The sequence below is a fragment of the Homo sapiens genome, chromosome 18 (assembly GCF_000001405.40).
Source record: "Homo sapiens chromosome 18, GRCh38.p14 Primary Assembly".
Classification (NCBI taxonomy): domain Eukaryota; kingdom Metazoa; phylum Chordata; class Mammalia; order Primates; family Hominidae; genus Homo; species Homo sapiens.
Window position 1 is genome coordinate 49332631 of NC_000018.10, and position 27520 is coordinate 49360150.

A 27520-nucleotide genomic window follows, 5' to 3' on the forward strand; every position below is an offset into this window, starting at 1 on the left:
TTTTAACAGATTCTTTAATGTACTATTGAGCTTTTTAAATATGGTTTCCAAGATGAACCCCAAAAATAAGTAAAGAACATATTACGGTTTAAATATGTGGCACCATAATGATACTATAAAAACCTTACTTAGAAAATAAGAACACTAACACCCTCTATGTCTATTTTTAAAAAGCAACTTGAATACTCTGGCACTATAAGGGATGAAGTTCACAATCTTGTTTCAGCAAAGATGCACACAGTCCCACGATGCCAGCACTACTTCAAACCACGGTCATTCTGAGTGTCATTCTGAGTGTCTCTGTCAGAGAGGGTTCCAATGCAAACCTCTGACTCCAAAGCCCAGATCCTTTCCCTCAGTGATTTTCAAATATGTTCAAAGAACATACATGCCACAGGAATAATCAGGGTAGCAAAAAGAATATGAAGAAGACAAAGCTCCCCACTATCTGAGAACTTTCCTCAAAGGTACTTTATTTGGATTTGTTTTACATTTTTAAAGTTTTGTGAAGATTATGTTAATAAAAGGTCAGGTATGTGCATATGTGTTGGTCATTTGCATCCACACCCTCTAGGAGATCGTAAGCTTCTGCTCAAGAGCATAGCCCCACAGTCTAACATGCCTGGCACATGGATAGCACACAGCAAATATTTGCAGGCTCAAAGAAGTAGGAATAGTCAGCGAAGAGGCTGCTGGAGAAGTCCAAAGAGAGTAAGGGGGCATAGATCACAGGTGTTTCAAAGGGACTGCTGAGAAGAGGAAGATACAAAAATAATCTGAATAACAAATATGACTTGACTGCTTAAACATAGACAGAATGAAGGAGATGGAAGAAAAAGATGATTTCAAAGTTTCAATTCTACGAAGCAACCACTGGAGAAGGTAATGAAGCTACGGGACAGGAAGAACAGGGAGGATGGGTAGATGGCACAGGAAAGTAGAATGCGGTTCCCTATGCACTGGGTTTAAAGAGACAATAGAACAACTAGAGGAAATACCTGGTTGGAGATATGGGACGATACTCAGGTAAAAGGACAAGACTAGAAATATAGATTTATACAATGAAAAAACTAGACATACTTAAAGTAGAAACATACCATGGACCTCGCATCAAATACTTGTGGCTGATGCTCTGTCGCAAAACTTCTTTGTGGAAGAGTTGGCAGGAAAGGAAAACAACCATTGTTGATATAGCTTCTACTGATATTTCATATGTAATATCTCTAAAATGGAAGAAAAACAGAGTAACAGTCACTTTGGAAGATTAAGACACTATTCTTTTCTAAATGAACTATACATTTAAAAACTCAAATCTAAATATTCAGTATTTTCAGGTTACTGAAAAATGTTAATACGTTTAATACAAAAATTAAGTCAAGCAAAAATATTAAACTCCTTCCCTGTCATTAGCTGGTGTATTTGGGTTAGTTATCCCTTTATTTCCCTATTTTCCAGTTTCCATCTCCTATTAAATGACAAGTCTATTTATGTATAATGGAAATAGTTACTAGCAGTGTTCTGTTTTGAAGATTCACTCTAGACATCTATGTTCATTTCTGTTTAGTGATAATACAGAGACAAATACTCAGATTGTAAAGCTGAAGAGAAGGTACAGTGTAGGGAAGAAAACAATGCCTTTTCATGTTGATGATCACTTTACAATCAGAACAATAATACACCCTAGATCTTGTGTCTCTAGTGCCTACCTTTCTCAAGGTCAACTTTGCATGTTCAGCAAAATATTAACAGTAAACAAGTTATTCCTGTTTTATTAAGCATATTTTGATTATGAAGGGTTACTCTGTCCTCTCAAGATCATAAACCCCTTTGGGAAACAAGTCTTAGATCAAATAAAAAGAAAAAGATTCAGCTGAACAGAAAGCACACAGAGGAATAAAGGCATCCAGAAATTTCCAGTTACTGCAAAAGTTTAAACAGGATTATAATGGGGAACATGTTAAGACCAAGGAAGTAGAAACCTCAACAACGCAGTAAAAAGAGCAATAGCACCAAAAGAATACTAAAATATTTTTATAAAAATGAAATAATTATGAAAAACAAAGAAAAATACTTAACACCTACTTAAATGAAAGCTCATTAAACAAATTAATGATGACTTGATTCTAGAACTAGAAAAATTTAAATTCTACCAGATATCTTAAGGAGTTATTACTGATAGAAATATGTTTAAAAGGCCAGGCTCAGTGGCTCACGCCTGTAATCCCAGCACTTTGGGAGGCCAAAGCGGGTGGATCACCTGAGGTCAGGAGTTTGAGACCAGCCTGGCCAACATGGTAAAACCCCATCTCTGCTAAAAATACAAAAAATTAGCTGGGCATGGTGGCGGGCACCTGTAATGCCAGCTACTAGGGAGGCTGAGGCAGGAGAATGGCTTGAACCTGGGAGGCGGAAGTTGCAGTGAGCCAAGATCGTGCCATTGCACTCCAGCCTTGGCGATAAGAGCGAAACTCCATCTCAAAAACAAAAAATAAAGAAAGAAAAAGAAATATATTTAAAAATGACATATAAAAAAAGAAAAACACAAGAGACCCACGCAATTAGCCTTATTACGTGGTTGAATAAAGCTCAGCTCTACTCAGAAATCTGACTTTTAAAGTATTGTAGAACAATCTCTTTCCTGAAATTTCCATAATCACTGTTGTAAAAATTAACCTGTAAAAAGCAATTCTTGGGCATAGTGGCACATGCCTGTAATCCCAGCTACTCAGGAGGCTGAGGCACTAGAACCCAGAAGGTGGAGGTTGCAGTGAGCTGAGATTACACCACTGCACTCCAGCCTGGGCAACAGAGTGAGACTCTTGTCTCAAAAAATAAAAATAAAAAATTTAAAAAATAAAATAAAGCAATTCTTGTATTTGTTCTTCTTTCATGAATTGAATGAAAGACAAACTTGATGTTTCATGTCATGTTATGATTTACTAATGATGATTTGATTTGGGTGCTCAGAACCCCCAAAAATTTTGTATCACAATAATCATTCATTCAAAACATAGCCCACGCCTGTCTGGAATCCATACACAATAGTCTCCTGGCTAGGCTTTTCACCTGGGTCAGAGTTTAAAGCCAAATCCTGACATAACAAATACTTGGCTGTGAGTTAGAGCCTATTTAGATAGGCAGATGGATGACTATGTCCAATACATTTGCAAACGTTTTCTGTCTTTTTTTTTTTTCTTTTTGGAGACAGGGTCTGTGTCTGTCACCTAGGCTGACACCTAGTGGCGCGATCTTGGCTCACTGCAACCTCCACCTCCCAGGCTCAAGTGATCCTCCTGCCTTAGCCTCTCAAGTAGCTGGGACTACAGGCAGACGCCATCATGCCCAGCTAATTTTTGTCTTTTTTACAAAGAGGGGGTTTTACCATGTTGCCCAGGCTGATCTGGAACTCCTGTGCTCAAGTGATCTGCCTGCCTGGGGCTCCCAAACTGCTGGGATTACAGGCATGAGCCATCGTGCCAGACTGCAAATGTATTTTGTCATTGCATCAATAATAAAGAATCAGCTGTGGTGGTTTACAATTTAACATCTTACTGTATGCCTCAGATCTAGAAACAAATTGTTTTACTAAATTGTTTTAGTTTTGCTTAAACCAAAATCTATGACTATTAATAATTACTAGGTCTAATAACCTTAGGGAAAGAATACGTATTTAGAAAAAAGTGTTCTTCTCCTTCAAAATTAATTGGGCCAAACACAATCAGAAGTGAGAGAACAAAAAAAGTGTTAACCTTGGATCATCCTCTCTTACCGTGGAATCCTATAAATGTAGAAGAATGAAGAGTAGAGGGTTTGATGCTGGGAGGTAAGGAAAGCTTCCAGCACATAAGAATACTGAAGCAATACAACATGACAATAAGAGTCACTGCAAGCTAAAAACCCATTTCCCCAAATTCCTAAACAGAACCATGTGTGTCTTCCGTAGGCCCAGAGAAACAAATTATATCAAATTGCTTATCACACAGTATTTTTGCTCATATGATGTTCAACAAATATTGATTAAAAATTTATTCTTACTATCTCTAGACAGGCATTATGCTACATATTGGGGACATATCCATCAACAAATAGACAAGGCTCCTGCCTTTATGAAGCTTACAATTTAGTGGAAAAAAGAAAAATCAAATAATAATCACTCCAAAAAGGACTATAAAGGAAAAAAACAAGTAATAACAGGAGAGGATTACAGGACACTCTGATAGTAACTATGGGATCAAAAGAAAGCGTCTCTTAAAAAGTGGCATTTAAAACCTGGAGTATGAGTGGCAATTACTTACAAATCTTTCTTACTATAATATATGAGACTCTAGCTAGAGAACCTTTCATTTTTGCTGTTGTTTATATTCTCAACTCTAGTATATAATAGGTACTCAATGGATAAATAAATGGAAAGATGGAGGGATCTTTACTGTTTTCATTTTGACTGGAAACTTATTGAATACCTTCCTTAATAGATCCATCAGCAAAGCGTACAAGGCATATATAACTTAGGATAGCAAAGAGGAAGAAGAATGCTGAGGTCAGGTAATATGTATTCATAAGCACAAATGGAATACTCATTGCAACAAAAATGTAAAGGGAATTTCATGAAAGAAGGATCCAGAATGTTGTTGACTGGCTTACAGCTGTCCTCTGTTGATTTTGCCTGACCAACATCCACCTCCTGTTCTTCTGGCAAAAGCAGCCCTTTTGTCCTCCTGAGAACCTCCCTCCCCTCCATACATGTGGATTGGATGGGGCACGACTCTGCCTTCTGGTGATCCACGTTTGGCCAATAAAAATGGTCTTTGTCAAAATCCTTCCCAGCACTTCTGGAACTATCAGAAAAGAGGCACTCTCTCCTTCTGAGATTGTGAGTGCTAAGAACTATGTATGGATAGAGCTGCTACTGGTTTTCTCTGTCGATGGATCCTGCCTGAGAACATAGCCAATCACAGCAGTGACAAGAGATTGAGAACATCACAGCAGTGACAAGAGATTGAGGGGGAAGGAGCAAAAAGGAGAGAAGAAAGAGAGGAGTCCTAGTGAAGAGTCAGCGGAATAATCAAACATAGAAAAAGAAATTACTATGAAATCCGGCAAATCCCATGAAAGAATATGAACTATCTGTATTAGGAACACAGAGATAACAGCAACCAATTCTGCCTGGGTCAGAAGGGAAATTCTTCACAAAGATGATGATATTTGAGCAGACGAAGAACAAGAAGAAGGGGAAGGGCATTAAAGTGAAGAAACCATACAAAGGCAGCCACAAAAAGGTCTGGTAGTTTTGAAGGAAAATAAGAAATTCAATATCGATCAAACAGATTAAAAGAAGGTGGGGGAAAGGGGTGGGAGCAAAGGGACTCGAACTGGGAGTTGAGAAATTAATAAAATGGAAAAAGTATGTATATATTGGAGAAGTTAGATTAAAACAGTTATTAAAAAATCAAGAAACTATTCAAATAAATTTAAAAATCCAACTAGGCCAGATACAAGATCAACTTTGAAAGATAAATAGCATTTCTCCTTAGCAGCACTAACCAACAATAGTAGGTTATCAAAAACAAAACAGCATTTTGCAAGACTGCCAGAATAACTAAAATGTTTGGAATAAAATGTTTTGGTCCTTCATAGGACATCTATGAAGAAAAACATTTAAAAAGGACACAGTGGATGATCTGAACAGAATGACAATACTATGAAGATAATAATTCTACCCAGATTAATACAGAAAGTCAACGAATCACAACCAAAATTCTCACTCGACTTTTTTGAGGAACTGCATAAATTGACTCACTTTTATGAAATAATAAACAAATAGCCAAGTCAACCTTGACAATAAAGAATGAAGAGGGGCACTTTCCCTACTGGATATCAAGCCACTCTATACAGCTGTAGTAAGAAAAACAGCATGGTATTTGTATAAAAAGTAAACAAACCAAAGGACCCCAATTGATAATTCAAAGACAGACCTGTGTATATATGGAAATAATATACAATAAAGATTACGATTACTCCACAAATCAATGAAGAAAAACACATTGTACAGAAGATGGTAATGGGAAACACCTCTTTTATTTCATAATGACAGATCCCTACACCTTACAACATACTCAAGACCTACTACAGAAGACTTAATGACTTAGATGTGAATAAAACTAAAGTTGATAGAAGGAAGAGTACAATAAGTTTGTAACATAAGCACAAGAAAGGACTTATTAAATAAAAGCCTAAGAACACAAACCACAAAGGCAAAAATTACACATTAAATTACATCAGAATTAAAGATTACTGCTCAGCAAATGAATCCCTGGACAAAGTTAACAGGCAGATAATAGACTGAAAGAAGAACACGAAACTAATATCAAGGCTATTACAAATAACTCCTGCCAACAACCAATAAAAAGGCAGGAACTCTGCTAGAAAAAAAAAATCAAAAGATATAAACAGGCAATCTGAAACAAGGTGATATGCCCCTATGCCCTAGAGAATGTAATGTGTTGCCAGGCATGTGGTGATATAAAAACCCTCATGCTCTGCTGATGGGAATACTAACCAGCATAGTCAGTTTTAGAGAACCTATGTCCATTCACACAGACACACAGACACACACGCGTGCATGCGCACGTGCCAAAGAAAAATCCACAGAGATATGTCTGAGAAATATAGTAGGCATCCTCTAAAATGACCCCAATCATGCCTGCTTCCTGCTATTCATGCCCTTGTGTAATCCCCTCCCCTCACAGAATACAACAAAAGTGAGAGTTATGTCACTTTTGAGAGATCAGCTTACAACATAACTACGATGTGTGTTGAGTAGCCCCTCTTGCTCTTCCATTTGCCGGCCAGTTGCCTTGCTGTAGGCTAACATACTGAGAGGTCTACACGGCAAAGAACTAAGGGAGGCCTCCAATCAACAGCCAGTGAGGAACTGAGGTCCTCAGTCCAACCCTTGAGGAGCTGACTCTTGCCAATAGCCAAGAGACCTAGGAAGCAAGGCGTCCCCCAGCTGAGGCTTCAAGTGAGACCAGAGCCCCAGCTTGACTACAACTTCATGTGACACCTTGAGTCAGAGTCTTAAAGCTACGGTATACTCAGATCTCTGACCCTAAAAAACTATGTAATAATATTTGTTGTTCTAAACAGCTAAGTTTTGGGTAATTTTTATGCAGCAATAGATGAACAACACGAAACATCCATTATTTGTGGGCATGCAAAGTTGGAGGCAATCCGGGTATAACCGATGAATTAAATAAGTAAAATGAGGCGGAGCCACACATGGAGCAGGTTTTGGGTTTTTTTGGGGTTTTTTGTTTGTTTGTTTGTTTGTTTGTTTTTGAGACAGAGTCTCGCTCTGTCGCCCAGGCTGGAGTGCAGTGGCGCCATCTCGGCTCACTGCAAGCTCCGCCTCCTGGATTCACGCCGTTCTCCTGCCTCAGCCTCTCGAGTAGCTGTGAACTACAGGCACCCGCCACCACGCCCAGCTAATTTTTCTGTATTTTTAGTAGAGACGGGGTTTCACTGTGTTAGCCAGGATGGTCTCGATCTCCTGATCTCGTGATCCGCCCGCCTCGGCCTACCAAAGTGCTGGGATTACAAGCGTGAGCCACTGCACCCGGCCCACGTGGAGAAGTTTTAAAAGCCACAGACTAAATGTTCACTTTGCATCACAAGTAACTCTTAAAAACAGTTTTGAGAGGAAAAAAGTAAAAAAAAACAGAATGAGTTCTATAACACAATTCTATTTACATACATTAAAAATACATGTACACATACGAATAACATTTTGTACCTGAACATACATATGTAGAAGTAAACATATTAAACACATCAGAATGGCTATCTATGGGAAAGAAAAGGAAATAGGGAATGGAGATAAAAGAGAATAAATGAATGGATGAATACTAAATGGAGGAAAGGACAGGCCTTACAGGAGCTGATGATAATAGTGCTAAAGAATGTGACACATAGCCAAATTCAACCCTATGTCTGATGAGTCTAAAACCAGGGCTTGTGGGATGAAAGGACACATAAGAGGTTGGGGAACATACTGATGTGAGAAAATGTTTAAACTAATCCAGGAAACAAAAGACATGTGCAATAAATCATTTGGGGGGACATAATGAGGACATCCACTAAAACAGTGACAACATGAATGAAAAAGCAATCAGATTTGAATAACATTTAATAAAATAAAACTACTACCACTCAGTGACAGATCAGACACTTAAAATGGGTAAGAAAAACAGATTAATCAAGAAACACTAAGCTTTCTAAATGTAGCACCCAGAGATGGTGATGCCATTAACTAAATCAAGGACACAGGAAATGGAAAATTGCCATATATACAGTCAACACTCATTATTCACAGATTCTGTATTTGTAAAATCACCTATTCACTAAAATTTATTTGTAACCCCCAAATCACTATTGCAGCACTTCTGCTAACTGAACTAATCTACATTAATTTTCTAACTTGCACCAAAAAAATCCTAGACCAAATTTCATGACAAAAAATAGAAAGTAAAAAATTCCAAATGAATTCACAGATAAATTATACTATGACAAAGATGATAAAGGCTGGATGTGGTGGCTCATGCCTGTAATCCCAGCACTTTGGGAGGCCGAGGCGGGTGGATCACGAGGTCAGGAGATCGAGACCATCCTGGCTAACACGGTGAAACCCCGTGAAACTACTAAAAATACAAAAAATTAGCCGGGCATGGTGGCAGGCACCTGTAGTCCCAGCTACTCAGGAAGCTGAGGCAGGGGAATCGCTTGAACCTGGGAGGTGGAGGTTGCAGTAAGCTGAGATCGCACCACTGCATTCTAGCCTGGGCTACAGAGTGAGACTCCATCGCAAAAAAAAAAAAAAAAAAAAAAAAAATGATAAAATGATAAAATAAAAAGCAAGGTCTGTATTTCCTTTGTGTCACTGAGGGTGGATGTGGATGGGGTATTCATGAAAGAAGAGTGGCCATGAGTTGATAGTTACTGAAGCTGAGTGACAAGCACATGGAGTTTCATTCTTCTCTCTATATTTATATGCTTGAAATTTTCCATAAATTCAAAAATATAAATTAAAAAATTGACTATTTATGAAGTGACTGTAGACCATGAGTTTGGGGAAGTCAGGAGCCTTTCTTATTCCTAGCTCCTCCCACAGTTCCCAGAAAATAGTAGGTATTTAACAAATATTAGAATGAATGAACCATTGAAAATACTGTACTTAAATCTAATTTGCTAAAGGTGTCTGCTTTGAGAAGCTGAATATGTTCTATCAGCACTGTATTAGTTTTACATTGCTGCCATTAACAAATCATCACAAATGTAGCAGCTTTAAACAGCACCATTTGTTATCATACAGTCCTGGGAGTCAGAAGTCCAGTACAGGTCTCACGAGCCTAAAATCCAGGTGTCGGCAAGCTGCATTCCATTCTGGAGGCTCTAAAGAAGAATTCATTTCCTGTTCATTTGGGTTTTTGGCAGGACTCATTTCCTCGTGGTTGTAGGACCCAGGTCCCTGTTTTCTTGCTGGGTGTAAACTGAGGGCAATTCTTGGCTTCTAGGGGTCACCACATCCCTTGGCCCATGGATCTCTTGTTCCATCTTCGAAGGAAGCAAGGACTTTGAGTGACTCCTTATATCACATCTCTCTGACCCACTCTGCTTTGCTCATTTAAGGACTCATGTGATTAGACTGGGCCCGACAGGATAATGAATGACAGTCTCTCCATTAAAAGGTCTTTAACTTTAAACACATCTACAACATCACTTTTGACATATAAGTTATGTTACTCACAGGTTCCAGGGATTAGAGCATGTACATCTTTGGGGTTTGGAATGGCATTAGTCTGCCTATCACTAGCACTCAGTAAGAATCAGATTATGTGCTAATTTCAGTAAGAACCAAAAATTTGCCTACCAGCCAGCATAAAAATATTACTCATTGTTATACTATCTGCCAGATTAGGAGGGGAGGTGAGGATAATAAAAATATAGTCATGGGTCCCATAACAGTATGTCAGTCAACAATGGACCACATATATGATAATGCTTCCATATTATAATGCCATATTTTAATGTACCCTTTCTATGTTTAGATATGTGTAGATACATACTTACACTGTGTTACAACTGCCTATAGTATTTAGTGCAGTAACATGCTATACAGGTTTGTAGCCTAGGAGCAACAGGTTATACTATTCAGGGTAGGTGTGTAGCAGGCTATAACATCTAGGTTTATGTAAGTACACTCTATGATGTTTGCACAATGATGAAATCACCCAACAATGTATTTCTCACAATATCCCCATCATTAAGCAATGCATAACTGTATACACAATGAAGCACAGCTTCAAATGGTAGCAAAGGTATAAATATTAAAAATAGCGAGAACAGAATGATTTTGTGGGGAGAAGGTGGGCAAAGATGTCAAGAACCTAATTTCCAATTTTTGTTGTCTGAGGATAGTTCTTATAACCACAAAGCAAGGGAAAATTTAAATACACAGGGCAAAAATATTCAGACAAGGATAATCACCATCCCACAGCTGCCCACCCCACTAAGAATAAAACTCGGAGTCCTTAACTCAGCCTCTAAGACCCTGTATGACTTCTGCATCCATACTAACTTATCTTCTACCACATACCCTCCCCATCCTTGCTCATTCTGCTCAGCTCTACTGGCTTGCTTAGTGTCCTTGGATATACCAAGCATGTGACCGCCTCAAGGCCTTGAAGCTGCTGTTCCCTCTGTTAGAATACTCTCCCATCAAACAGTAACAGGACTCTGTCTTTGACTTTATTATAAGGTCCACTTCACAAGAAGCCCTCCCTTATGATCTTGGCTAAAATACCATCACATTACTATTTCTTTCATTGCCCTTATCACATCCTAACATTACATATTAATGTGTTTATTGTCTGTCCTATCCCACTCGCAACTAGAATTTATATCTTATTCAGTATTGTATCCCTAGCACCTAAAACAAGGACTGACAACCAGTGAATACTCACATATTTTTGAATAGTCTCTTCAACTATGCTCACAGGCACAGTGAGAAATTAATACTATTTTACCAAAACCAAGAAAAATACATCCATTCGTGTACAAATTTTAAATGATGAAAAATATCTGAAACTCCCAGCTTCTAAACACTTTTTTATGATTTAACACTCTGCAGAAAAATTTATGCCTGGGCATACTGGTTCATGCCTGTAATCCCAGCACATTAGGAGACTGAGGCAGGAGGATCACTTGAGGCCAGGAGTTCAGGACAGGCTTGGGCAACATACAAGACCCCACCTCTACACCACATTAAAAAAAAAAAAAAAATCACTAGACTCCTGGAGCCACAGTAACAGAACTAGTAGTAACAACAAAAATAATTACTCAACATTCATTTGAAACAAGACTTACTCAAAGTAGCCCATGCCTTCATTTAATCCATTTTCTGTAATAAATGGTATTGAAGATGACTGATGTTTTTCAAAAGTCAGTTTAAAAATAAGGAACCCAAATTTGGGTTCTACATATCTGGGGAAAAAATGATGTAAACAGAAAAACCCTGGAACAGCCATTTAAGAAATACATTTTAAAGAAACATGTGGGCAAAATGCAACTATCCATCAACTACTGCTTCCTCGTTACCACGTTCCCTCACATCTCCTAAGTCTCTGTGATGGCTTCAACTTCCCCTTCTGCCTCCAAACTGCTTGGCTAACTCATATTCATAACTCAAGACTTTGGACTTTGTTATTCTTGATTGTTTACAAAATAGCCTGTAACTACAAGCCAAAGAACAAGAGATGTCACATGTCAACACACCACTTAATACGAATAAAAATACAAGATTTAGAGAAAACAAGAATTAATGCCTTAAAAAAAATCTCCTTTTGATCTGATGATGATTGAGTCTGCAGTTATCTCTCCCGTGAGAAATCTATCAGGAAGAAGAGTAGACATTTCTTATTTTTAAATCATTTTTATGTAAGTTAGTAATAGGACTTCATTAGTAACATTCTAAAAGGACATTAATACATATAGTAGGACAACTGTATAACCTTTTGGGGAAAAAAAAAAAGACCTGAATCCATACCACAGACTCTATACAAAAATAAATCCCAAATATATCAAAGGTTTAAATCTAAAAAGAAATGGAAGAATTCCTTTATAACATGCTTTAGTGAAGGTCTTTCCAATCATTCATTGGGTATCTACTATAAGACAAACTTCACAGAGCTTAAATCTAGAGGGGCAGATAAATAAATATGTTATACATTAAATTAAAAGATAAGTGCTATGAAAAAAGTAAGGGTATAAAGGTAGGACCAAGAGTGCCAGGTTAGGGTAGAAGGTTAAGTAACAGGCTAAGCTGCTGTGACAAAGAGGTCTAAAGTTCAAGTATTTAAAACAGGATCAAAGTTAATTTCTCTGCCATATCATAATCCAGAAAATAATCCAGATCAGGTAGGCTCCACTTGATAAGAATACACAAGGCCCATGCTGGGAGGGAAGCTCTACTACCCTTTGCATGTGCTTCAAAGTTTGTGCCAGTTGTTATAATTTCCCACCAAAGAGAAGGGGGAAAAAATGCACTCCAAGGCAAGTCATTTCTTTTTTTTTAATGTAAAAGCATATATCTCTTCTTCTGGTACATCCATATCTAGCTGCAGGGAATCCTGATAAATGGCATCTCTACCTGGACAGCCGTTGTCCAGCTAAACTCTAAATAAAGAAGATAAATTTGGGGGACTACTGACAACCTATCACAGGTGTGTTACAATTTTAAATAAGAAGACCTCAACAAGGACTTGACATTTAAGCAAAGACTTGAAAGAAGCAAGGTGGCAAGGGAAGTGTCTTCCAAGTAGAGGGCCCAGCACACGCAGTCCCTAAGGTAGGAATACACCTAGTACCACATGCAGTCCCTAAGGTAGGAATACACCTAGTACCTTTAAGGAACAACAAAGAGGCCAGTAGGGCTAGAATAGAATCTGCAAGAAGAAGAGTAGTAAGAGATGAGGTTTGAAAAGGTAAAACTAAATCAGCTTATAGATCCTTAAGCCTAAAAGCTATAAAAGATGGATAAATTTAAATTATTCAAAATTGTTAAAAAGTCATCATGATAAAAACAAAAATATCCTATAAGCAAGTAAGTCAACAGGCAAACTGAAAAAAATATTTACATTCTAACACAGAAAGGGTTTTAGAAAGATACAACAGAGGCGGCAATACAACCTGAGCAAAGGATATGAGCAAAAACAAATTAACAATGTCCATCAATAAGGGCATGATTAAATATATTTTGACACTGATCTACAACAGAACATTATATAGCTTTTGAAGAAGAGTGAGAAAGGCTGTGGAGAAACTGAAACCCTCTTTCATGGCTGGCAGGAAGGTAAAGTGGTGAAACTGCTGTGGAAAAGTTTGGCAGTTAACTCAAAAAGTTAAATACAGAGTTACCATATCACTTAGCAATTCCATTCCTAGATGCATAGCCAGAAGAACTGAAAACGTTTCTACACAAAATCTTGTACATTGATGCTCAAAGCAGCATTACTCATAATGGCCAAAAAGTAAAAATAAACCCAATGCATATCAACTGGTGAATAAGCAAAATGTGGTATATACAGACAATGGGATACTTTTCAGCATAAAAAAGAATGAAATACTGGTACATATTATATAACATGAATGAACTCTGAACACATTATACAAAGTAAATGCCAGATACAAAAGCCATATATTGTATGATTTCACTTGCATAAAATATCCAGAATAGGGAAATGCATAGACAGAAGGCAGATGAGTGGTTACTAGGGGCAGAAGAGAGGGATAAATGAGGCCTGAAGTAGTCAGGCCCATTAGCAAATGGGTGCACAGTTTCTCTTTGGATAATGAAAATGTTCTAGAATTAGATAGTGGTGTTGGTTTCACAACTTTGTGAACATACTGCAAACCACTGAACTGTATATTTTTAAAGGGTGAAAATTTTAGTATTTAAAATATACCTCAATGAAGTTGTTATTTAAAAAATAAAAATGAGAAAGTTCTATATAGTGTACAACAACTGCCAGGATAGAATGTTAACTAGAAAAAGAATAAAGTTCAAAACAATATGTAGAATTTCCTGCCTTTTATGTGGAAGCAAGGTGAAATAAGAATCTATATTCATAACTGAATATACAGATGCTCTTTGACTAATAATGGAGTTATGTCCCAATAAATCTACTGTAAGTTGAAAGTATCAAAAGCCAAAAATGCATTTAAATACCCTAACCTATTATATTATAACTTAGCTTAGCTTACCTTAAACATGCATGAATACTTAAATAAGCCTACAGTTGGGCAAAGTCATCTAACACAAAGCCTACTTTATAATAAAGTGTTGAATATTTCATGTAATTTATTGAACACTGTACTGAAAGTGAAAAATAAAATAGTTGTATAGGTACTTGAAGTACAGTTTCTACTGAATGCCTATCGCTTTCACATAATCGTAAATTCAAAAAATCATAAGTCAAATTATCATTAAGTTGTAGGTCATCCCTATATTTGTGAAAAATTATAAGGGCAAGTAAGAAACTAAGAATAGCAGTTAACTATGGAGGCCAATGGAAGGACTAGGGAGATGGGAGACAAGGATGAGAGGGAGATTGTTCATGCATACTTTTATGTGTTGGATTTTTGAATAATATAAATGCATCATCTATATAAAAATTAAGTTAATAACTAAAAACAGAAGACTGCCATAAATATTAAAAACTGAACTTCTATTCATTAAAATATAACATATTGAAATAAAAGCAAAGAAAAAAACGAAGTTACCCTAATCACAAGCAGTATATGCTGCAGGAGTCGCCGATTCGAAATGAAGAAAGTCAGGGCCTGCTTCTAAGCATCTATTAACTCGCTCTGTTAACCTCAACAAATAACTTCTCTGCGTCTCAGTTTTCTTATTTGTAAATAAGTACACTGTGCAAGAGGACCTCTAATGGCATTTCCTCCCGTAACTTTCTATAATGCTCTTAAAAAGGAATTCAAAAGCAATGTTACATTTCTGTGAAGACAAAATTAAAAATATATTAATTTGGCTATCTTAAGTGCCAAATAATCAGGAAAAAGAGCCAGAGAGGCCAATACTTGAAAGAAACCAAAATTCTACCATGCTGAGTGTGGTGGTTTTTAGAAGATGAAAAATGTTTTAATTCAACAGATCTTTCTTGTTTTAATGTCAGAAGATTTTCATTACACAATCACCAAAACAAAGTCAACCTTAAAAAGCCAAAATACTGCTTTGGCTGCCATATTATCCCAAGAACTTTCCACCATCTGCTCTGGAAATGTCCTAGAACAAACCACTGCTGGAGCAAGTTATTAATTTCATGTGAAGAAAAAGAGACAGGCGCCATGACCCTGCACTGCACTGCTAGGGCACAGTGGAACACTTGGATAAAGACAAAAGACTTCATGAAATGGGTGTTAGTGTTGGCTAAGAGCAGTCAACGAATACAGAGGAAAAAAACATCCTCCTTTTACTTACTATTGGATAAGAAACCTGATGGTACTGTAAATGGAACATAAGTTTAATAAAAACAACTGACAAGTTCAAAGGATTGAGACCAAAATTTAGAAATATCAATGCATGCCAACATGGAGATTCTAGGAGTCAAATATGGGGAAAGACTAAAAAATAATATGCTATAGTACAGATATTATCAACAAAAGTATGTTAGTATAATGGCCAGTTTTAAAAATTAACAAATCAAAGACATGGTAATACTCCTCATTTATAAAAGTCTTAACACTAGAAGAAACAGTGCTTGGCATTTGGGATTCAAGAAATGTGGATTTTAGTCTCAGAACTGCCACTCAGTACCGTTATCGACCACATTACCTATCAACTTCATCATATATAAACTAAAGGGATGGATCACACAAATTAAAATATCCATTACTTTTTTTATGATTTATAAAAAAAAAAAAATGGGCCGAGTGCGGTGGCTCACGCCTGTAATCCCAGCACTTTGGGAGGCCAAGGCGAGTGGATTACCTGAGGTCAAGACATAGAGGCCATCCTGGCCAACATGGTGAAACCCCGTCTCTACTAAAAATACAAAAATTAGCTGGGCATGGTGGTGCACACCTGTAATCCCAGCTACTCGGGAGGCTGAGGCAGGAGAATCACTCGAACCCGGGAGGTGGAGATTGCAGTGAGCCATGATCGCGCCATTGCACTCCAGCCGGGTAACAGAGTGAGACTCCTCACCAAAAAAAAAAAAAAACCACACCAGATGCAGTGGCTCACGCCTATAATCTCAGCACTTTGGGAGGCCGAAGTGGGCAGATGACTTGAGCACAGCAGTTCAAGACCAGGCTGGCCAACATGGTGAAAACCCGTCTCTACTAAAAATATAAAAACTAGCCGAGCATGGTGGTGGGCGCCTGTAATCCCAGCTACTGGTGAGGCTGAGGCATGAGAATCGCTTGAACCTGGGAGGCGGAGGTTGCAGTGAGCCAAGATCGTGCCAGTGCACTCCCGCCTGGGTGACAGAGTGAGACTGTCTCAAAAAACAAACAAACAAACAAAACATAAAACCATAAATATTAAAAACTGAACTTTTATTAACTTAAATACTATACTGTATATGCAAAAAATGCATCAAATATTTAAAATATAGCCATAAATTTTCTTGAAATAAATTAAAGTTCAACACAAAAAAAGTTATTAAAAATATTCTTAAAAACAAAAATTAAGATAGACTGACAGATTGAAAAGATGGACATATAATGATAAAGCAAATATTCCAAAATTGTAACAAGTATAGAATTTATGGTGGGTAAGTACATGTCCAAAGTGCAATTAGGTCAACTCAAAATGTTGCATTCATAAAACATGGAATAATCAGAGAAAAAGAACTCTCCGGAACTAAAAATAATTGTAAAATTTCATCAAATGTTAGAAATGGCTTTTAAAAATATTAAGAGATATTCAACTTCACTTACAATGAGCAAATGCACATAAGAATCACAATATAACTAGGCGCCGTGACTCAATCTGTCATCCCAAAACTTTGGGAGGCAAAGGCAGAAAGATTGCTTGAGGCCAGAAGTTTGAGACCAGCCTGGGTAACATAGCAAGACCTCATCTCTACTAAAAATTTTAAAAATTAGCTGGGCATGGTGGCACACACCTGTAGTCCCAGCTACTAGGGAAGTGGAGGAGGAAGGCTTGCTTGAGCCCAGGAATTCGAGCTTGCAGTGAGCCGTGATCGCACCACTGTACTCCAACCTGGGTGACAGAGACCCTGTCTCAAAAAAATTTAAAAAAGGATCACAGTATGACTTCAATCTTTAACTTACAAAAAATTTTATAATGTACAATGTTTGCAAGGCTCTACTAGAGGCTTTTGGTGGGACTATAATTGGTATAATCTTTTTAGGGAATAAATTTTTACCAAATTTATCACATCTTTATCAAAACTTAAAATGTGCACAATTAATGCCAACTCTAAAATACATATGATGGCTATATCTGTATATATGAAGTGAATTTATGTACATGAATATTCATTGGAGTGTTGTTTATAATAGTAAAAGACTGGAAATGAACTAAATTTTCATAAGATACTGATTAAATTATGATATATTCAGACAATCCATACATAGCTATAAAAAATCAAAGTTGATCTATAGCTACTGATTGGGAAAAATCAAGTTAAAAGTGATAAAAGCAACTTACAGAATAGTCTGTCTGGCTGGTATCATTTTTATTTAAAAACACTTTTGGCTGAGCGCAGTGGCTTACGTCTGTAATCCCAGCACTTTGGGAGGCCAAGGTGGGCGGATCACGAGGTCAGGAGTTTGAGACCAGCCTGGCCAACTTGGTGAAACCCCATCTCTACTAAAAATACAAAACTAAACTGAGCATGGTGGCGGGCGCCTGTAATTCCAGCTACCTGGGAGGCTGAGGCAGGAGAATCATTTAAACCTGGGAGGCGGAGGTTGCAGTGAGCCAAGATCTCACCATTGCACTCCACCCTGGGTGACAGGGTGAGACTCCATCTCAAGAAAAAAAGAAAAAAAAAGAAAAAAAAAAAAAAAACAAGAAACACTTTTTATGCGGTATGCTATGAATGGGAGAGGGAATAGAAGATTAGACAGTAAGGGTCCAAAGTGAGAAGATGACTTATTATATTCCCTTTCATACCGTCTGATTTTTTCCATGCACACATATTACCTATTAAAAATAAGTATTTTAGTACAGAAATTTTGATGAGGGAGGTCAAAAACTAAAAATCAAACAAATTTCCAACAAGTTAGAATTTTTTTAAAAGATGTAAAAAGTTGAGATAAGAGAGGTTAAATCTACAAAGTCCAGTATCTGACTTGAACATGAGTTTTAGAGAGACTTAAAAAGTTGAGATAAGAGAGGTTAAATCTACAAAGTCCAGTATCTGACTTGAACATGAGTTTTAGAGAGACTTAAAAAAAGAGGGAAGGGCCGGGTACGGTGGCTCTCGCCTGTAATCCTAGCACTTTGGGAGGCTGAAGAGGGCAGAACACTTGAGGTCAGGAGCTCAAGACCAGCCTGGCCAACATGGTGAAACCCTGGCTCTACTAAAAATATAAAAATTAGCCGGAAATCGCTTGAACCCGGGAGGTGGAGGTTGCAATGAGTCAAGATTGTGCCACTGCACTCCAGTCTGGGCAACAGAGCGAGACTCTGTCTCTAAATAAATAAACAAATAAAAATACATTTAAAAAGAGGGAAGAAATGCACAAAGAAATATTGAATAACACAAAAAACTGCCCATAGTTGAAGAACAAATATTTACTGACTAATAAGCAGTTCCATCAATGAAAAAATATCAGCCACACTAACACATCACCATATTTCAGAATTCTAAAGACAAACCCAAGATTCTAAAATCTTCCACCGAGGAAAAGAAAAAAAAAAACCATACAGAGCAATGATAATCAGATGGCATCAGAATTCCCTCTAACAACACTAATAATATTATTAGACAATAATGGAATATCTTCAAAACTCTAGGGAATACTGATTATCAGAAACTCATAACTAGCCTACCTATCATTCAAAGGTAGACATACAAGACAAATACATACAAATATAGACAAGTAAGGACTAATACTTTCTTCAAAAGCTACATGAGAATGTGCTACATGAAAACTGAGGAAATAAACCAAAAATGGCTTTAAAGAATATCAGGCAACTATGGAGGCCACCCAAGAAAATAGTGAAGAGGAATCCCAGATGACACAGCTATGTGATAGCCCTAGAAAGCAACCAGTCTAGATTGAAGCTAGAGGACTGATGGTGTCAATGAGGGTAGTCCCAAGACTACACGTAGAACTTTCAAAAATGAGGCTAAAATAATAAAAAAAGAATGAAGTACTGATCCATGCTATAACTAGAATGAACCTTGAAAACATACTAAGTAAAACAATGCAAACACAAAAGACCATATGTGATACGATACAATTTGTATGAAATGTCCAGAATAGCCAAATCCCATAGAAACACAAAGTAGGTCGGTTTTGCTAGGGGCTGAGAAATGAAGAGTGACTGCTAATGGGCACATGGCTTCTGCCTGGGGTGCTGAAAATGTTCCGGTATTAGATAATGGTGATGGTTGTACAATTTTGTGAATATACTAAAATCAATTAATTGTAGAAGTTAGAAAGCTGAATTTTGTAGCATATGAATGCTATCTCAATAAAGCTTTATTTTTAAAAGTGAAGCTAAAATAAAGGAAAAAACACAAAAAGCTAAGAAATGCCATTAAATTCCAAGAAAAACAAAAACTTACATGGGAAAGTAGATCACGCTGTACTTCTTGCCAAGTGGTTGCCAGGGACGAGGAGTTGGGATACAGACTGACTACAAGGGAAACTAGGGAACTTGAGAGGGATGTAATTGAATTGTTCTACATTATAATTTCAGTGTGTGTAACTGTATGCATTTGTCAAAACTCATAGAACTGAACAATAGAAAAGATGAATTTTGCTAAATGTAAATTATACATCAATAAACCTAACTTTTAAAATAAAATAAAACCTCCCGTGATACTGGAGTGGATTTTTGTAGTTGAAGCTGACTCTTAAGGAATCAACTATGGATTATTTAGCAAAGTTTGATGCCCAAATAACTGACAGTATCTAGTGATTTACTTTATTAAACTCTCCCTGTGCCTAAGTACATTACTGGGAGGGTCTGATTTTTTTTTAAAGCTTTTCAATACTCTTTATTGAAATACAATATATCTACTGCAAATTACAAGTACACATATTGCTTTCTCTGTAAATTCTGATACTCTGTCATCCTGACAGATTTTTGGGAGGGAGTAAAATAGGTCCAAAATGTAGAAACAAAAAAGTTTCCAAATTCCTCCCTAGTCAGGTCTTCATAGAGTAGTTTCATTAGCCGATTTAAAGTAAATTCTCAAAACAATAAATATACTCAAAGAAAATATACACATTTCCAAGTCACTTCTCCCATTTAGATTATCTATCCCCTAACTTAGCTCCAATCATGTTACAAGATTTACCTAGATGTCTTCTGATCTAGAAATTAGTAATATTTTAAAACAATTAAAATACATCGTAAAACTTTAAGAGACGGAGAGTTCTGTCTTCTCATTATTTTTATTGAACCCAACTAATCCCTGCTCTTTGGCTTCCTTTTGTGTACTTCCTACAAAGAATATACTTAAGTAAACTTGTCATCCTGGGGTAAAATAAGTAGATATTAAAGTACAGATAATACAAGTAAGAAGAGAAAAGAAAGAGAACTGAATGAAGGGTGTGGGAAGTAGTATCTTTAATTTACAAAGGGAAAGTCAAGTGTTACTGCCTATATTTGAAGGAATAAAGACATATATTACACAGAAAAACTAAAAATGATAATTTAAATATAATAGAATATAGCAAGGGAAAAGGTGCAAGTAGAAGGAGATAATCATCTGAGCAGACGTCAATAAATAATTTAATGAATCAAAAAAGTGGTATACATTTACATTAAGAACCAAGAAAATAAAACACTTGGATATAAATCTAACAAAATATGTATAAAAGCTGTATGAGCAAAACCATAAAACTTTGATGAAAGAAATCAAATAACTAAATAAATAGAAAGATATTCTATATTCATGGATAGAAAGACTCAATATTGTCAAGATTCCTCTTAATGTGATCTACAGATGCAACACAATTCAAATCACAACACCTGCAAGTTACTTGGTAGTAACTTGTAGTAACACAACAAACTGGTTCTAAAGTTATACAGAAAAGCAAAAGGCCTATAAATATCAACACAAAATTGAAACAGCAGAACAAACTAAAAGGACTGGAATTATCCTTCAAGACCTACTACAAGGCTACAGTAATCAAGACAGCATGACACTGGCAAAAGAATAAATAGATCAACAGAACAGAACTGAGCACTCAGAAACAGACCCACATATAGTTAATTGGTCTTTGACAAAGAAGCAAAGACAGTATAATGGGGAAAGGTAGTCTCTTCAACCAGATGCTGAAACAACTGGATATCCACATGCAAAAAAAAGACAGATCTAAATATGAAATGCAAAACTATAAAACTCTAAAACGATAAAATAGGAGAAAATCCAAATGACCTTGGGTATGGTGATGACTTTTTGGATACAACACCAAAGGCACAATCCATGAAAGAAATTATTGATAGGAAGATTAAAATTTTAAAATTTAAAGTTTCCTACTCTGTGAAAGACATGATCCATCAAAAAAATAACTGAGAGCAAGGGCCTCATTAAAATTAAAAATTTCTATTCTGTGAAAGACACTGTGAAGAGAATGAGAATAAATGCCACAGGCTGGGAGAAAACACTTGCAGAAGACATATCTGATAATGGATTGTTATCTAAAATATACAAAGAACTCTCAAAACTCAGCAAGAACACAACCCAATTAAAAAGTGGACCAAAGACTAACAGATATATCATCAAAAAAGATACACAGATGGCACAAGCATATGAAGAGATGCTCAACATCATATGTCATTAGGGAACTGCAAATTAAAACAATGAGATACCACTACACATCTATTCAAATGCCAAAATTTAAAACACTAACACCACCAAACGCTGACAAGGATGTGGAGCAATAGGAACTCTCATTCATTACTGGTGGGAATGGCAAAACTGGTACAGGCATTTTGGAAGACAGTTAAGCAGTTTCTTACAAAATTAAACATACTTTAACCATCATTCATTCATCTACTCTGTATGATATGACAATGATAGATACATTTCATCATGCATTTGTCTAATCCCATAGAATATAAATTTCTTACAAAATTAAACATATTTTAACCATCATCCTTTGATCTACTCTGTATGATATGACAATGATAGATACATTTCATCATGCATTTGTCTAATCCCATAGAATATAAATTTCTTACAAAATTAAACATACTTTAACCATCATCCTTTGATCTACTCTGTACATGACAATGATAGATACATTGATCAACACATTGATACATTGATAGATACAATTGATACACTGATCAATAAACTTATAGATACATTGATAGATGTATCTATCAATGTATAGATATCAATAGATATAGATATCAATAGATATGCATTGATATCTATCATAGATATCATAGATAGACATCAATGTATAGACAGATGTATCTATCAATAATTGATAGGTACATTGATAGATAGATGATACATAGATAGATGATACATTGATACACTGATAGATACAATTGACAGATACAATTGATACACTGATCAACACATTGACAGATACAATAGATATATTGATCAATATGATACACTGATAGATACATTTCATCATGCATTTGTCTAATCCCATAGAAGATAAACACCTACACCTACAGGGAACACTGAAGTAAACTATATTTGGGTGATAATCCAGTGCCAATGCAGGTTTATTAATTATAACAAATGTATTCCTCTGCTGAGGGACACTGACGGTGCAGAAGGCTATATGTGTGTGGGGGTGGCTTGACATTAATAACTGCAAATTTTAATTCTCCCAACAAACAACTAATTTTTTTTCTTTTTAATTCTGTACTTTCTGCTCAATTTTGTGGTGAACCTAAAATTACTCTCAAAACTAAATGTAAAAAAATAAATATAAAGACTTATTTTTTCAAAATAATGGTATATTATTTAGAAATATAAAAGGTTAAATGAAGGTAAAGGTTTATATAAACCACTAGAACAGGTGAGAATTTAGAAAGTTTGTCTCTCAGGAGGAAACATTTAAAAAGGGATGAGACAAATAACATTTGTTCTCATTATAAGCCTCTGTGCAATGTGATTTTGTCTCCAAACCATGTGCATACATATATGACCACTTAAAATTCAGCATCAATGACTACCAGAAAATATTCAAATGTAATATAATCTGGATTATGTCTGAAAAGAAATTACTCTGTAAAGAAGTAAGTTATAAGTCAGAAAAAATTAAAAAGAAAAAAATCAATTGTTTGTTGGGAGAATTAAAATTTGCAGTTATTAATGTCAAATCACTTTATTCCTATTTTGCTATACATGTATTAATAACAGTAAACAAAATTAACAGCAGCATTCAGTAACAATCTTGGTTTTTTACCAGGAAAAATTCTCTGAAGGCACCAGACATCAATTTTCAAGCTAAAAAGCTACTGTAAACTTAATACGTAATACTGTCTTGGTATCTGAAAATACTACAATCTTTGATTCTTTGATTCAATCGATGCCTTAAATGCCTAATTCATTCAGAAAGCTATACTGGATGTTTGCCTTGCAACACCTAAAACTTAAAATACTGACTTGCTGTAGTCACCCCCCAACCCTACCCTCACTCCTCCACCCACCTTACGGCTAGATTCAAAGAAGTATTTTAGCATCAACATGCAGGGCTGTAGAAAGGCATTTTCCCAATAGCTAGGCCCTTCGTTGCCAACCATGGGTCTCTCCTGTACCTTCACTCTCTTCCAACGACTTGGAGACTCCATAAAGAAACCATTTATGACTCTTTAGGTTCTTGAACCATCTACTCACTGTTACTACCAAATGTTTTCAGTACTCAAATTTCCACAGTAGAACATCTAACCCAGTACTATTAGTCTATGGATCCAATAAATGTGCATCTTATATAATGTTATTACATTTTTAAAATGCTATAAGCTGAATTTTATAAATAAGATTCTCAGTTTCACACTCAAATATTTCCAAAATGGATTTTAGAAAAATATTTCTAATAATTATATTCTTTTTTATATCTCAATAAACAGAGAACCCTAAAAATAATCAAATCTTTAGTCCTCTAACATTTGAGTCTTTGCTACATCAACATTGCTTCTTTATCCCTAATATTCCACAAACCCTCTGCTCAACCTAATGTGCTTGTGATTTTCCAAATACATTATTCATACCTAAGAAGTCCCTATCCAGTTCTTTTCTGCCTCTTTAATGATTTAGCCAGTGCTAATCTGTTCAACTCCAAATGACTGTGGCATCTACCAATGTTCTTCTCATCGGGGTATCTTTTTGTCTATCTACCTCTAAGCTCTTCAAGAGTCACACCTTTTTATGTTCAGGGTCTACTCCACTGTACACACATAGTATATTCACAATATGTTTTTGAGGATGACCTGAATTAAAAAGAAATTATTATACTAAGAATAATCTAGGGACTACTGAGATATAAAGCCCATCGTCCCTAAACTAAACGGCCCCAGAATACTCAGCATTTATAACTAATTAATCTACTAGTCCCTTAAACATTCTCAGGTGTTATTTCTCAGTGTTTCAGCTTCCAGTAGCCCCTTTCTACTACCAATGTCAGTAAGACACCCTGTTGTTACAATGTGCCAACTACAAATGAGCCATTACACTTGCAGTGGAATATGCCTTAGCACAATACTGTTTCCATATAGACTAGATGCTGAGAAACAAACAAAATGCTTTAAGCACAGTGAACAGGTTAGACCCTTACTAATTTACTCAGTAAAGAAATATTTGAGTCTACCATGTGCCAAGCTAACCTGAATATCATGGATGCAGCAGCAGTGAGCAAACCAAATGCTGCCACAAGAGCCCTTGTTTTCATGGAGGTTTCATTCTAGTTTTATTGGGAAAATATGAGCAAGAGAGGTAACAGGTAATATGAAGAGTAGTGAAAAGTGTTAAGACAAAAAACAGGCCAGGTGTGGTGGCTCTTGCCTGTAATCCCAGCACTTTAGGAGGCCAAGGCAGGAGGGTTGCTTGAGCCCAGAATTCAAGGCCAGCCTGGGCAACACAGCAAGACCTCATCTCTAAAAATAATTTTAAAAATTAGCCAGGCATGGTGGCACACACCTGTGGCCCCAGATACTCAAGAGTCTGAGATGGGAGAATTGCTTGAGCCTGGGCAGTTGAGGCTATACTGAGCCATGATTGTGCCACTGCCCTCCAGGCTGGGTGACAGAGTGGGAATCCCATCTCAAAAAAATAAATAAATAAGTAAATAAATAACACATGAAAAAAGACACAGAATGAGAGGGCAGCTATTTTCAGGTGGTCAAAGCTACTCTATAGGGTAGTCAGGGTGGCCATTTCTAAAGAAACAAAACCTGAAGCAGATGAAAGCTTGAAGGTGGTCAGAACGTGAGCCATGCAAATATCTAAAGGAAGACAAACTGTAGAAGGAAAGAAGGCAAAGGCCCTAGACACAGCATGGACTGGCATGCTCCACATTAGCAAGACCACCAGTGAGGGTTAGCAGATGACATCAGATATCCCCTGTACTCGACAAGTCACAGTACACAAATAGATACACACTCCCTGAAAAAGGCAGTGAAAGCAATTAATTATGAAACTCTCATCTTTATCAATCTATACCTTACGAAAAAAACTACAAAAAGTTTTCTTAGATTAAATTATAATTGACAAATCTGCAAATCAGGGCCAGACTAAAAATTAAACAGTCCTCAATGAGTTCACAGGTTCATAAGAAAGACCACAGAAATGGATCCCAGAGAAAGAGGCTGTATTTTGGGTCTGAGGCCAATAGAAAGAGGCCTACTCTGAGCAGACCTGCCCAGAGTGGTGGCACTAGTGAGAAGGAGTGGGGCCTGTGCTTGACACTGACATCCTCATGTACAACTAACAGCCACAGATTTGCTGAAAAATGACAGCAACAAAAACAGATACAAAGACAAGGGAAAAAAATCTAATTTGCGTCCTCAAAATAACTTCCATTTCTTAACAAAACAGCATCACAAGCAGCCCCAAAATACAAGGATGGGTCTATACGGCATCACTGCTTCTGCGGCTATGGCCACACCTGACTCCACCACTCGGTTGGTTCCCACAAGTCTCATTCAGCCCTTATAGTAACACTACAAGAACCCAGACAGTGTCACAAATTCCGAGCGCTGGGCTTTTACCTCTGGCTTACCTACCCACGTTCTTTCTGTTAGAACACTCCATATTAGTGTCTTGAGGAAAATACCTTTATCTTTATTACTTTCCTGTTTACTTCACTGAGACACAGGGAAGGTATAAAAATCAAAGGCAAGGATTTGCTTTTGGCCGATTTATTTAAATTCTAGTGGGATCGATCCAATACACACTGAAAAATGTCAAGCCCGTGCATAACTTAATCTTTATTTTAAATATATAAATGCTGAGAGCTATGGAGTTAAGGAAGGACTCCTGAAAGATGAACAATTTTAATGAAGATTAGTACCTCCGTGAATTAATATTTTATCAAGAAATCCAAAGTGTCTGAGAAACAGTAGCCACTAACTACTTAAAAGTGAATCTTCATTACAAATGAACTCCTACAAAGATCACTGTAATGAACTTCTGGGAGTTTATTTCAAGTATGCCACTGATCCTATTCTCTTTATAATAAGGTATCATTTACATTTTAGTTTACAGATCTCTAAATAAATATATAGCATACACATGTATGTGTCCGTGGTAAACCCTTTGCTCTCAATATTAACAGAATGATTTTAAAAGTCTCATAAGAAACATTTACGCTAGTTTGAATTACCCTCAGTGGCCATTAAAATTCATTTCATCTTGTTATTTACCTGCTAATGCAGCACAGGATGAATTACCAATGTGAAATGTGAAACGTTTATAGCACTTCTGATGATGTTCAGGTGTGAGAGCATTCGTGGTTTGCATATATTCCTATTTCCTCTTAAATTATACACTGATCCATAAATACTGCACTACAGTTAGAGGAAATGAAACATTTAAAGAGTAGTTTGGTTTCACATGGAAACTGTTACCAAGACAAACCTTCTTGTAGGATGGAGTTCCAAGAACATTAAATCATCAGAAATTGTTTCAGCAGCTGGTTAAAGCTGAGTGTACATAATAGGAGACAACTGGCTAGCTGTGCATTTTCAGCTAATTTAAAAGGTATAAACACATTAAAACACTGAAATGTTTGATATATTACAACACAATCGGCTTGCTCCTCAAGA

The 27520-nt window shown here is 36.5% G+C and overlaps 1 protein-coding gene across 41 annotated transcripts in view; it reads right to left on the reverse strand.

Moving 5' to 3' along the window:
- DYM (dymeclin) overlaps nt 1-27520 on the reverse strand; it is a 424259-nt gene that overhangs the window by 296244 nt on the left and 100495 nt on the right. For 35 of the 41 annotated variants that reach the window (NM_001374439.1, XM_047437559.1, XM_047437553.1 and 32 more), the window contains one exon: nt 1098-1223. The exons of the other annotated variants lie outside the window; for them this stretch is intronic. In NM_001374439.1, coding sequence (NP_001361368.1) covers nt 1098-1223 — 126 coding nt within the window. The remainder of the gene's footprint in view (nt 1-1097; nt 1224-27520) is intronic. 41 annotated transcript variants of the gene reach the window in all.